We start from the raw sequence: 14,567 nt of genomic DNA, 5'->3' as shown, positions 1-14,567 counted from the left end.
ACAACTTCTCAAAAATAAAATATCATCAGGTACTGAAAAACCAGAAAGGCAGTAATTAAGGCAAATTTTGTGTCTTTTATAAGTGACAAAAATTAATACTTTGATTTGGATGACTCAACAGAGTAGGCGAATGGTAAAAGGCATAAGAAGATATTTTGGGGATAAAACCAAACTATGGTGCAAAAAAGAAAATATGTATCGAATGGGCGCTAACCATGTAGGCAGTTATGACCCCGCCCAAACCATCTCATTTGTTTATTTTTCAAAATCTATAAAATAGGTATGTATTATCCCCATTTTAGTAATGTTAAAACTTAAGCTTTCAGAGTTTTACTTCAACAATTCTTCAAGGCTGTTTAGGAGTACAGCTGGGAGTCACATCCTAGTCATTTTCTTCCAAAGCCCATGTTCTCTCCACTGCACTGGTCTGCCTCCCAGAAGTGATAGGTACACTGGCTGGGCGCGGTGGCTCACACCTGTAATCCCAGCACTTTGGGAGGCCGAGATGGGCAGATCACGAGGTCAGGAGATCGAGACCATCCTGGCTAACATGGTGAAACCCCATCTCTACTAAAAATGCATTAGCCAGGCGTGGCGGTGGGCACCTGTGGTCCCAGGTACTCGGGAGGCTGAGGCAGGAGAATGGCGTGAACCCTGGGAGGTGGAGCTTGTAGTGAGCAGAGGTCATGCCATTGCACTCCAGCCTGGGCGACAGAGCCAGATTCCGTCTCAAAAAGAAGTGATAGGTACACCGTTGAACAAATTTAGTACAAAAATTATGGCTAATCCCCCAAAACAAAACTTCCCTAGTTTTTCAATATCGTGTAATTCAACTAGTTTTGTTTCTTTGCATATTTCCCATTGCATTTTATTTTAATAAGGATATGCCATTAAAAGTCATATTGAAACAACCTATAATCCGCACTTGCCCACGGATCTCTTTGCTTTTATGAATGGTGAAGTGGGGCTCCACCAGGAGTTGTAATGGAAAGAGTGATGACCTTAGGGCTGATTCTGGCTTTGCTGCTAACTAGTTATCAAACTTTTTTTGTATAAATGCAAACTTTGCGGTAAGACATTTCATAGTGCTATAGTCCCTCTTTTAATTTTTCCAAGGAAGGAAAGGCACACAATGGTATCAAATGTTCATTCATTCCATCTCTTGATGCTCTACGATATTATCAGTCTACACTATGCTTTCCTGAAAGGCCAGAAGTTCAAAGATGGACTAGTTTCCCAGGGACCTGATTCCCCAGTTGGAATACTCCAGCCCCTTGGAAATTCCCGGGATTTATAAAATAACTCTAGACAACAAGACTTTGTCTTTAAAGGTCCTATGAATTCTTTTCTCTCTGTATTTAGGTATCCTGATTTTTCTTTTCCATATTTTCCACAGGATTATTTTACAAATGCAAATAGAGAGTTGAAAAAAGATGCTCAGCAAGATTACCATCTAGAATATGCCATGGAAAATAGCACACACACAATAATTGAATTTACCAGAGAGCTGCATACATGTGACATAAATGACAAGAGTATAACGGTAAGGCATCTATGAGTGAATGCATGCATGAACAAATTGTATATTTACACTTGTGAAGCACTTTAAAGAATAAGAGAAACAAGTCATATAGTCTTTTTTCTAATATTTTTGAAATCTTTTTTGATTTTTTTTAGTTTTTTTTTTAGTTTTTTCTTTTTTACTTTTTTAGAAGCCAAAAATGTGTAAGACCAAAAATTTCAATAAAATCCATTTTTGTGTGAGTTTAACATTTTGAAGATCCCTTTAAAATTTGTATGATTTAGCCATAAATACATTTTACTTTCTTCTCCATAAAGTTTGAAAATACACAACAGATAAATGTTTGAAGAAATGTATTACACAAGAAAGAATTATGAATCTGAATATTAGGATATAATTCATCTGATTTGTAATGGACTCATCTTTGTAAATTTCTAAAATCAAGATGAATAGGTGGCTGATTATAATTGCCTATTGGTATATTAAATGAGATTTCTTATTTTCAGACTTCATGCAAAAATTAATATCTTTATGTGCATTCAAATTAAATATTTAGAAGATATGTAATACTTCAGAAATTTCCATGAATTGTTTGGATTAATTTTATTTTGTGTAGACCAATACGATTACCTTTTTATTTTGTAAATCAAAGCTTCAAAAATGGGAATGTAAAAAATATGAAGCAGTTCTGATTAACATTCAGCATAAAGAGTGAACGAGGCAGAAAAAATGCATGCAAAGAGAGGGATTACTTTTTAATGCAATATACAGTGCAATTATACTTTAATTGGAATAATAATTATAGTCATTTGACTTATTAAGAAAGAATATAGCAAAGAGAACATTTAAAATACTTTTGCGTTATTATTTATTTTCAAAGTTCTTATTACAAAGATCTGGCAAAAACACCTTTATCTGTGAGAGGATTGAACAATTTCTTTACACCCCAGCAAACCCTCCCCAACCCATAGCCCTTTGGGCAATCTCTCCTGGTTGCTCAATGGAAACCGATTTCATCTGACAGTACTTTCCATAGTTGTGGTAAACCAGTCCCTAGGAAATTCCCAGGATTCATAAAATGACTGTAGATTAACTGTAGTATGATTTAAAAACTCAGAATCAGAAATCCTTCTATATTTATATTTTCTGTAAATGTATACGTGTGACTAGGCTAGTGCCTAGGAAAACATCTACTGTAAAAGGAAAAGTATTAGGTAATTTTAATTTTTATTGTATTAATTTTTCCCTAAAATCTTCCATGGCATTTAATTTTCCAAAGTCTCTGCTGCTGAACAAGAATATTTGTTTAGAAGCTACCAGTTGCAAGGTTAAAGTTTTGGCGTGACAATGATTTATTGTTGTCATATACTTCAAAGTGTAATTACTGAGTCAATTGTCCTTCAGTATGTTTTGGAACACATAATCTTGCATGCTGAGAGATGATTCCTTCCAAAAAGTAACTCATATATTTGGATCCTTAATGACTTAATCAAATTTGTGCAATTAATATTAGAGACCATGTTGATAACTCCAAATGTCATTATTGTCTTTTCTTCACTTCTATATCTTGTTTACAATAGAGTTCTTTAAACTCAACTCAGTGGTAAGGAAAGTGCTCTCATGAGACCTAATCATGCCCATGTCTGATCCCCAGGATAGCACTGTGAGAGTGATCTGGGCCTACCACCATGAAGATGCAGGAGAAGCTGGTCCCAAGTACCATGACTCCAATAGGGGCACCAAGAGTTTGCGGTTATTGAATCCTGAGAAAACTAGTGTGCTATCTACAGCCTTACCATACTTTGATCTGGTAAATCAGGACGTAAGTGTTTTCAGGTTTTATGATTGTAGGGATGGGCTTATTGAAAGTGTATACGAGCATTTTTGCTTACATTATTGTATTCAGGAGCATGTTAAGAGAAGGTGACTTTGTGTCTTCCTCCCCTTTTTATTAAGACAGGTCCCCATCCCAAACAAAGATACAACATATTGGTGCCAAATGTTTAAGATTCCTGTGTTCCAAGAAAAGCATCATGTAATAAAGGTATGTGACTCATTCATAGGCTAAAATTAATTTTCATGAGTGGAAAAATAAATTGATGTTAATATAATGAAAACAGTAAAAGTATAGAAATGTTTTTCAATTATTTGAAAGTTTTTTAGAGAAAAAAGAACTGGCTTGGCTGACCTGCATACTTTTTCAAGAGTCTGAAAGCTTGGATTATATCTAATATTTTGGTTATCTCCTAATTTTACATGTCAAAGGTACAAGTTTTGGTATGCACATGAACACCGCTAATTATTATTTTAGGCAACATTTCTACAATTGGAATTACTGGAATTGCAATTTAAAATAGTATGTTTACGTATTGATAAATTATACCCATGAAGGTTACATTCCTCACCAATAGTGTTTGAGAACATCTGCTTCATTGAAAACACTGGATATTGTCATAAAAAAACAGTTATAATAATTTTTTGAAAATAGAAAAAAGAAAATTAGTGAATTTCTACAGAAATAAAGAAATACAGAATTGGGTAGTAAATAAACCCAATTTGCCTGTGCAATACAATTATTTTCCACCCTTCTGGAATGGGCCTCCCAGAACTTTTGCATCTACTTAGCGAATGAACAAATATTTTTAAAAAGTTACAAGTCCTTGGCTCCGTGCTAGTAATTGTTAATTCCACAGAGGCCAAAGGTATGATCCATGCTCTCAAAGAACTTACAGTGAGATTGGGGAGACATGGCCAAGACACAAGAAAGAATAAGATAGAATTAAATAGTGCATACAGAATACTGTAAACATTCAGAAGGCCAGATGTTGCTGCCTTTCTGTCAGTTCCCAGACTATGTAATGAAGCGATGTGGATAAGGAATGAATTGCCAGACTCTGGAATCTAGAGGGAAATACATGGGTTTGAGAATCATAAGTCCACCCTTTAATTAAACTATGTGCTCTCAGGTAAGTCACTCTGGGGTAATGCTGTAGCCTTAGGTTTTCTCATCTGTAAAAGATGGACAGCCATAACACTTTTCCTATCAACCTCAAGACATTTTAGCAGAGATAGAAACACTGAGCACATTCTATAAGTTTATTCGTGGCTAAAATTTGTTAATTTCTAATATATTTCCCTAGTTTTCTTTTGTTTACAAATATTTTTGTTTACAGTTCTGCCTTTGGTTTACAAAATGATTCATAACTACATACAGAGGCAAAGGGAGTGGCTTTAGGGAATGTTATTGAGTTAATATGTAGTCCTAAATATTTATAGGTTATTTTTGCAAACAGGAGACTGTGACTGCAGGTGAATCATTTACCTCTGTGCAATAAGTTATTTTCTACTTTGTGTATGGAAAAGGGGAATGCAAATTCTAATTTTGTATAATTAATACCATGCCCAAGTCCTTCCCTTGTACCAATGAAAAGTATTCCTCAGGAAAGAGAATGTTTCATTTATATGTACTGTATGTCATTTGCAGTAAATTTAACTGGAACCAGGCTTAAGAGGCAAATGTAAAACTGTAGATTCAGAAATAGAAACAAATGTTTCAAACAACCGGTCCTTTATCCACTTTCTGGCAAACATTAATTGTAAATTTCTTAACCACTTACTGTGAATGCATTTTTATTCTTGCCATTGTTAATGCTAATAATTGAGTTGAATGAAATAAAATAATTATGTATGTTTCAGGGAGGTCAGTGTATGTTTCAACCCTCTATGTAGGATATTTGCTTGGTACCTCATCTTTCTTCACTAACTTTCCTATATGAAGCATATTAAATGATACTCAGATAAACTTTCCTATAAGAAGCGTATCAAGTAATTCTCAGACACATGAACTTAGAATTAAGTACTTTTGGGAATACATAGCTGTCTTCACTAGACATTTGCATTAACATGAAAGGCATTGGAGCATTTTTTGCAATGTTTGGAGGTCTTCTAGACAACAAAAGTTATTTACCTTGAGCAAAAGGGATTTGAGGGAAGGACAGTAGGTCATAAGGGAGTGCTCATACAAACTTTTGTTGTTACAGGGGACAGAGGTTTGGTGGCTAGAATTTAAAATCCTATTATTATGTGAGAATACCACTTATAGGATAGATTCCTTATCTTGCTAAACCTTAAAATATTTTAAAGTTTATTAAGTATTATGAAACATTTTCCTTGAAAATTAACTAAAATAGGATATTATTCAAAAAATAAAGAAAACTCTACTGAAAAAATAAATTCAAAATATTTAGTAATATGTAAGTGGTTTTAAGGCAGCCTTTCAAAACCAGTTTTCATTTGCAACTTATTCAAGATTTCAACAAAATTTTAATGATGTAGAATTCATAAATCTAGGACTTGCCTTAAGTTGTCTGATTTCCATGCTCTTTTTTCTAGTAGAGAGGATTTCTAATAATTTAAGAAAAGTGTATATTCTTTCCATAAAATCAAAGACTCCTATGTTTTGAAAAGCCATCAGTTAAGAGCTTCTCCTTATTTTTCATTTTATGTTCCATAAATCACTGTATCAAAAAGCCTCAGTCCTTTTCTTCTGCAAACAAAAAGTACTTTCACAGAAATGAGAAGATTGATTTTATATCATATTGTGTGGTGTGTCATTTGCAGTGAGTTTTAAGAATATCGATCACAGTTGAATTGTGAGAAGTCAGTTTCATTTTCTGGTGTCTAATTCGCACAAAGAATTTGTTTGTATTTGCAGTTTAAATGTTGATAGTGCCTAGACCCACTTATCTGTGGTTCCATGGGTTAAGTTGCCCATGGTCAACTGTGATCTGAAAATATTAAATGGAAGATTCCAGAAATAAACAATTCATAAATTTTAAGTTGCATGCCATTTTGAGTAGCTTGATGAAATCTTGCACTGTCCTGCTTCATTCCAGCTGGGACGTGAATCATTCCTTTGTCCAGCATATTCACACTGGAAACGCTGCCCATCCGTTAGTCACTTAGTAGCCATCTCAGTTATTAGACTTACTCTTGCAGTTATCAGATTGTCATGGTATCAGAGTTCTTGTGTTGAAGTCACCCTTATTTTCTTTAACAATGCACCCCAAAGCACAAGAGTAATGATGCTAGCTAGCAATTCAGATATGCCCGGGAGAAGCCATCAAGTGCTTCTGTAAGTGAAAAGGAGAAAGCTCTCAACTTCATAAAAAAAAAATGATAAGGTTGTTAAGACCTATGCTAAGAATGAATCTTCTCTCTGTGAAATTGTGAAGAAGGAAAAAGAAATTCATGCCAATTTTGCTGTCTCACTTCAGACTGCAAAAGTTATGGCCACAGTGCATGATAAGTGCTTAGTTGAAATGGAAAAGGCATTAAATCTGTGGGTAGAAGACATGAACAGAAACGTTTTCCGATTGACAGCAACGTGCCGCACTAGAAAGCATTGAGCCTATACAAAGACTTCAACAAGGGATTGCCTGAAATGAGTGACACCAAGCCATTTACTGCAAGTGGGGAATAGTTGCAGAGATTCAGGAATATAGATTCTGATCAGTAGTAGCCTAATACTATGTCACAATACCTACGTTATTCATTATGCTCCATCTCATTATGTAGGGATTGTATCATCTCGCATCACAGGAAGGGTGAGTACAGTATGATAAGATATTTTGAGAGAGAGAGAGACCACATTCACGTAACTTTAATTACAGCATATTGTTATAATTGTTTTGCTTTATTATTAGTTATTGTTATTAAGCTCTTACAAGAAAGTATTTGGAAATCTCCTAATTTATAAATTAAGCTTTAATGCATGTATAGGAAGAAGCATAGTATGTGTAGAGTTTGTAGTTTCTGCCATCCACTGGGGATTTTGCAATGTTTTCCCCTCAGATGAGGGAAGACTACTGCATACATTTCATACTTATAATAACTATAAGACTAAGCAAAGAAAATATATCAGTAGTTTGATAAGAATGACTAAATTTAAAAATATTTATTACATTTAAAATTTAAATTTTAACCATGTAAAAATTATTTGCTTCTAAAATTATAAAATAAGGTAAATAATCTCTAAAATGACTAAAATATAAAATAAACATAAATGATTTTATCTCTAGAAAAGATAGGATTATAATACAATTATTGGCTGTTGAAACTCGTTTGTGATCTCAATTTATTGATTTGTATTTTGATTCTTAACAAAATGTTGAAAATTGTGGCTTGAAAATGTGGGTATTATCAGATGACAGCATATCACATTGCAGGTGAATATGGAAATTGTAGAAAAGAATATTCTTGGTAATTTATATTTAAACTGTACTTCTCATGTGAGGTCATCTCTTTGTCAGGTACTCGAGACCACTCTGCAGCCCACCTCTCCATATTTCAGCATGACTCTTTTTAAGCTTTATTTTAGATGTGACTTTACCGTAAATTTAAAATTTTTTAAAGACGGTTGATTCTACCACTCTCTTTAGTCAACAGTAATGGCATTGCCATGACTATTAGTCGTGGTTGGATATACTTTGCTAGAAATGGGGGTTATTGAATTGGCTTAACACGCTGCTTTTTTTGAGGTGCTTTTATTGTCCTGGAATTCTCATAGATGAACTACACTCCTAATATATCTGTTTAAATGTGATGTGTCTCATTCCATTTAATAGAAAATTTGCTGATGGCCTATTATGGCAAAGGGGAGAAAAAAAGAAAAACAGCCAGCCAAAATCATCATCCCTTAGTCCTCTCTCCTTAAAGGACTAGCTCCCTAAATAGGGAGGCAGTACACCTCATACTACGGTAGGTGGGTTCCGTGACTGGATGGATAGTTCAGGTTTGAATTCCTTCTTTCCATTTATTAGTCATGTAACTTACAGAAAAGTTGTTAGCCACACACAGTTCAGTATTTTCATTTAAATGGAAATGGTGCCTCCTAATGGAATTGCTTACATTAAGGATCAAACAGGAGTTGTTGTTTTTTAAGCACTTAGCACAGTATCTGACACTTACAAAACTATTAATAAACTCAACTATTATGATCAGGCAACTATTTATTTTCAATGTTGCTCCCTGAATGACTTTTCATTGAAAACTCCCATTTAGTGAGAAGGCCCGGAAAAGGATGCAGTATCAGGCTTAAAGGCTGACCATTGCTGGGTTTTAAGAGAGGATTATACTTACTAGTTGTGTGACCTTAGGCAAATCAATTTACCTCTCTGTGCCTCAGTTTCCTCCTCTGGAAAATGGTGATAATAATAGTTCTTACCTAACAAGATTGCTATGAGTATTAAGTGAATCAAATGAGTTTAATATTTATAAAGTATTTATAACAGTGCTGGGAACATAATTTCTGTTAAACAAGGTAAGTAAATTCAATAAAATTTTGTAGATCACTAGCAACACTCAATTGCTAATCTGTTGATCATCTTGTTAGGTTTCTGGATTACAGAGGGATCCCAAACAAGTCAACCCTTTCTAGGCAGTCAGAGTTCCAAAGAAAACCTAGTTTGTCCATCACTTCATTTAGGGAGGTCACCTTGAAAATTTTCAGCTTTGGAGAAATGTGAAGTTGAGGTAAAACACTGTCATCATCCTCTTCATCATCAATTGCTACAGGAAGAGAAATGCTATGCTTTATTACTTGATACTGAACAGAACATCTTTTTTCTCCCATGAAATATCCATGCTTCTGTTCTCTTCTATTGGTAGCACTCATAAATCTCAATGATTTCATTTGGGGAGTGTTTCCTAGAACATGAAAATTTAAGAATAATTGACATTGAATAGCCATGGAATGTCCTTGAAGCCAGATTACTGTAGAGCCATGAAATAGCCACTCGAAAATTGATTTTCCTATAGTAGGCACCTAACATGAACGTTAGGCTTAATACAACATGTCAAATGGACATTGCTGCCTGTTTTTCTACTGTGCTCACTTAAAAAGACACAGTCAAATGGAAAACCTTATCATTAACACGTTTCTGAAATGTTAAGTGCGATAGAGGGTTTCTATTTTCTGAGAATGTGTAAGTCTTTGGGGTTAAATTTAGTAAACTGTGGGAATTTAAGCATTCTCAATGTCAAACTACATGCTTTTATGGCTGTCAGAATTAGCTCTTCTCTGACAGTATATCTCTTTCCTTCTTTCCTGAAATAATATTTCAAGACATATTTTAATTGATGCAGTTTTTCCCCCGATGGAAACAGCATTTTGGTTTGTTGTCAGCCTGCATTTGCACAGACTGCCCCGTCTAGTTCTCATTGTTTTTTTATGTGTTCACCTTCTGTTTCACTTTTTCATATGGGAGACTAGGTGTTTGCTGTTAACTACTGACTTAATGGTTATTTGTGTTTTTAACCCATATCCATTCCAACTCTAGAATTTTTTCTTCTTACTTATTGATGTTTCCCTTCTATCTTTTCTTATTTAACTCTATTTATTTTCTAAAGGCAAATCTTTGGATTTTTAGCTAGATTCATGTTGAAATAAATTAACTTTCATAATCTATCTTACGTGAAAATACTTTCCATTTCTCTTAAATATTTTGCAACACTCTATTTGGTTATTAAATTATTAACACCAATGGATTACCCCTGCACCTCTGGGTTTTGTCATCAATTGATAAAATAGATGATTCTTGATCTTCTAGAGAAAAAGTTATGCTATAAAAATCAAGAATCTTTTCCTTTAATAATTTGTGTTACAATGTTTATGGATGCCAAAAATTATTCCTCATTTCTAAGTGTATTGTAAGTTTTATCTATTTTTTATCTACTAGACAAGAGATGAAAATACTGGGGCATTTACTGTGGCTGAAACTGTAACTTTGTACAGAAAAAAAGTTGGTAGGAACACTTCCCCTAAAAGTAATGATTTGACTCAAATTAGTGCATTTGAAAGACTGCTGACTTAGATTGTTCAATGTTGTAAAGTTCATTCAAGATCCTCTTGAGTTACATCTACTTCATGGAAACACTGGAGATCGTCTAGCTACATGGGTGTTCTTATTAGTCACTTGAGAGTACAAGGTAATTAAATTTGCTTTGAAAGCATGTCTTTTCATGGAAGTGATTTATTGCTAACTCTGTCACTAATTAGCTTTCTGACCCTAGAGAAAGTACTTAACCTTGCCTGGTCCTCAAATTCCTTGTCTGTAAGATAAAGGGATTGGACCAGATGACCTCAATAGGCTCTTTCTACTTCTAAATATCTGTGATTTGACGAAAACAAAAAGAAAAGTCTGTGCTGGGGTTTGGCTGCTGCTCTGTGGTCTGAGTTCCTGACATGCATGCTTTTCAGTCACAGGGCATGCTGAGGTGAAAATACTGAGTACGCCACTGCCTCCCTTGAAGTTAAAAGGCCCCTTTCTTTAGCACCTCGAGCATGGACTTGGAGGATAAGTTTGGAGGCATCTTAGTCCTTTCTAGAGCATGCCAAAGTGCCCCAGAATCCCCAGGAGAATCCAGAATGTCTAGAGACATGTGTGGCTGCTTGGTCTGTTGACAGAAATACTTGATTTTTTAAAAAGAGGCTCATAGACTTTCTTATTTCTGGGCTATACAACACTCACTTTTTTATCTTTAAATTCCCATGCACTTAACTAAACTTGTTACTGATATTATTTAATGGCTATTAAGTTTTGGGAACAGCTGGTTCTAAACACAGAAAGGCTGCAAATGTAAAGTATTCACAACAAATCAAATTCTGAAACCACAAATCTTTATAATATCCGTATTATCTAGTGGTTGTACCATGGCCTACAGGGTCAGAGCAACTGGTTTGAATCTTGGCTCCTCAGCCTACTAGTGTGGAATCCAGGGCAAGCAATTTAACTTCCTTGAGCCTTAGGTTCCGTCTGTACATAGGGCTGATAACCGTATTTGCCTCGTATGTTAGCTGTCATCAAATGAAGGCAGTATCTGTAGAGTGCTTATATGTTTGGCAATGTATTAGATAGCTCAATAAGTACTGGCTATATTCCCAATTTGCTTCAGTTTTCAGATACCTCTTAAGTCACAGAGATAATGTCATTTTAAAATAAAGATAAAAATTAGGAGTGCCAGGGTGAGCAAGACTTTACTGAGATAAGTTGGTGCAGTGTACAAGAATTGGCTCTGGAGGTAGTTAGCAGTTGTGTTCAAACTCTCTTTCTCATTCACTGGATAACCTTGGGAAGACTAAATGCTCATAGCTTGCATCTTGACTTGCAAAGTGAGGAAAATAATTTTCAGCAAAGATGAAATGAAAACAAGTGAAAACACCTGTTGCATAATAGGCTCGTCATTGCTTGTTTTCTTCCCTTGAAGGGAATTATAGAGATGAATGACTAAAACTTCATCTAGTGTTTTCTCATTCTTGGAGTCAGGGCTGCACTGAAACAATGGTAGGCAGTAAGTCTCTATTTTATTTTGAAGAAAAGATTCCCTGGGAATTAGATTTCATAGCTTGCTTCCATTACTCTAACCCAAATGAAATTTAAGCTAATTTCCTCCTGTTCTTGTCTAAGTAAGGATAAAAACCAACTGGTGACTATCCTCTGGGAAATAATCTTTGACATTCTTAAGTCACCCATTAGTCTTCCATTCTATGGCCTTAAAATAATGCCATTTTCAACTGACATGAAACAATTTTTTTTTATTTTTTAATTTTTCTTCTACCAACCAAGTCTACTCCAACCTTGTATATCTTTTTCAGGTAGTACAAAAGTTTAGATGAGAAAATTGAATAGCACTAGCACATTTCTTGGTAATTATTCATTATAAAAATTAGTAAATAATTTAATTAACAGCACTTTATTGAAAGAATACTAAGATATTTATGTTGAATTCTAGATGTTGATAGCACAATGGGATTAAGAGGTGTGGTAACATTAAATTATGAATGACTTTTACTTACATGCAAGGAAGTATGTAGGTAAAATACTTTCTTGTTTTTTTGATACTTTAAATACATTATTTCACTAGGTTTTCACAGCCTCCCACAAAGTAAGTTGAATAACCACCACTTTCCATATGAACACACTGAGACACAGCAAGCTTATGTAGCTTGCTCAACATTACACAAATTAGGTGAAGTAGAGCCAAGACTTGAATGCAGATCTTCTGAGCAATACTAATGGGGCTTTTTCCATACAATTTTGCTAGCCTTCTACTTCTAAATATCTATCCAGGCCTTATTATTTTTTTCAAGATGCATAAGTTACAATGAAAAATAATTTGCGTGGAAGAAGTCTGATAGCTTATATCCAGCCATGAGTTCTTTAAGTAAACTTGTCAGAACCTGAGCTACTTTTTATTTTTTGACAGCTTTGTTGAGGTATAACAGATATACAAAGAACTGCACAGTTATAGTGTGTACCATTTGATGAGCTTGGAAATATGCAGACACTTATAGTGACATCACCAACCAAGGTAATAGACATATTCATCACCTCCCTTGTTTCCTTGAGTCTCTTTGGTTTTTTTTTTTTGTTTTTTATTGTGGTAAGAACATTTGACATGAGATCTACACTCAACAAATTTGGAAGTGCAAAATACTATATTCTGCTGGACTACTTTTGAGTCCTACGGAATTAATGCATAGACACAGGACACAGGACTGTGTGAGCAGACCCCACCAGAATCTTCCAGAGACATCAGTCCAGAGATCCTGGAAAGTGACTTAGATCTAGTCACATATGAGTACACAGAGACTGGGTGATTTCACCCTTGGGGATTACAAATGCTCATTAACAATGGATGACACATACGAAGTTTCATTTGTGATTTAGGAAGTCTTTAAAGTAAGATTAGAGTAAGATGATTAGGCTAAAGATTATGGCTGCAAAAAGGCTTCATGTTAAATCTTGGAGATGATATTAGGGAGAAAGGAATTGGAAATAATTTCCGTGGAAAGAAGTTAGTGAGACTGCTAATCTTATTGGACACGTCTTGTAGCATAAAGATTGCTGGAAGCAAGCCAAAAGCTTTCTGTTTAAGCTGAGCTAAGATCTTCTTTGGAGTTAAGTGAAATTAATGGTAATGGACTGTTTGATTCCCCTTTGCTATAACGATCTGTAAAAAGCTACTCATGAGAAGAAATACTAACATTTTTCACTTGGCAGTTAAATTTATGACAAAATACCTAAAGTGCTCTAAAACACGAAGAGATATATGTTGTTGGAGAGAAAACTAGAAGTGTTGGCATCTCAGAAAAGACCTAAGAACCAGACTGACAGTCTGGGTTCTAATCTTACTTTAACCTTTGGTCAGCTGAAAATTAATGTGACTGCACCACAATGCCTCTCAAGAGACCAAATTCATGTTAATAACAACTCAAAGACTATAAATCTGTATAACTGAGAAGTTGTTCTAAGTGATCTTTAACCCTTAAAATTCTGTGACTTCTTTCATTGTATTATTGGAATTGACAAAGTTGGAAATTTATAGAATAAGTGTATAAATATATACGAATAAAATTATAATAAAAGATTTTCTTAAAATTTTGAAAGGAATTCAGATAATTTTTGTGTGTTGCCATAGGATATCACAGGTCAATTTTATTTTTTTGTTTTCTATTTTCAATGGAAACAATTGTATACTTATCAAAACAGGAAGATATCTGTTGCCCTATGATACAACAATGAAATTTTTAATAGTTTTTATAAATGGAGCTTTTAGTGATTAGCAGGAAAAATTATATGTGGAAACTCACTTTTGATAAGTGAGATATTTTATATTCAAGTTTATAAAACTCATAAATCAGAGGATACTTTTTCACACCTTTACTGAGTTATCAATACCTTCTTTAAGGTATCAAGACTTTCTTTGGGTCATTTAACATGAATGTATTTGTGCATCAAAAATTCAGATTATATATAAGAGCTTAATAGTATATCTCTTTTATGAAGAAAAATACTACACTAACATATCAAAAATGTTATAGTTGAGATTTGCTTCATTGAGCTATTATTGTATTTTTCTTGATTCATAACCTAGGGTGCATGTTAGAATCAGAATCTTTAGGGAGGGAGTCCAGGCTTTTGTGATGATAGTGGTTGTTGCTGTGTTTTGGGAAAAGTTCCCCAAGTGACTCTGATATAAACCC

At 34.4% G+C, this 14,567-nt stretch overlaps 1 protein-coding gene across 4 annotated transcripts in view; it reads left to right on the top strand.

Moving 5' to 3' along the window:
• Nucleotides 1–14,567, top strand: part of MOXD1 (monooxygenase DBH like 1) — a 105,421-nt gene that overhangs the window by 25,302 nt on the left and 65,552 nt on the right. For all 4 annotated transcript variants that reach the window (XM_017010714.3, NM_015529.4, XM_047418622.1 and 1 more), the window contains exons 2-4: nucleotides 1,397–1,543; nucleotides 3,177–3,344; nucleotides 3,483–3,566. In XM_017010714.3, coding sequence (XP_016866203.1) covers nucleotides 1,397–1,543; nucleotides 3,177–3,344; nucleotides 3,483–3,566 — 399 coding nt within the window. The remainder of the gene's footprint in view (nucleotides 1–1,396; nucleotides 1,544–3,176; nucleotides 3,345–3,482; nucleotides 3,567–14,567) is intronic.

This window comes from Homo sapiens, chromosome 6, assembly GCF_000001405.40.
Source record: "Homo sapiens chromosome 6, GRCh38.p14 Primary Assembly".
NCBI lineage: Eukaryota > Metazoa > Chordata > Mammalia > Primates > Hominidae > Homo > Homo sapiens.
Note: the sequence above shows the minus strand (reverse complement) of the source record. Positions and strands in the feature narration are given on the sequence as shown.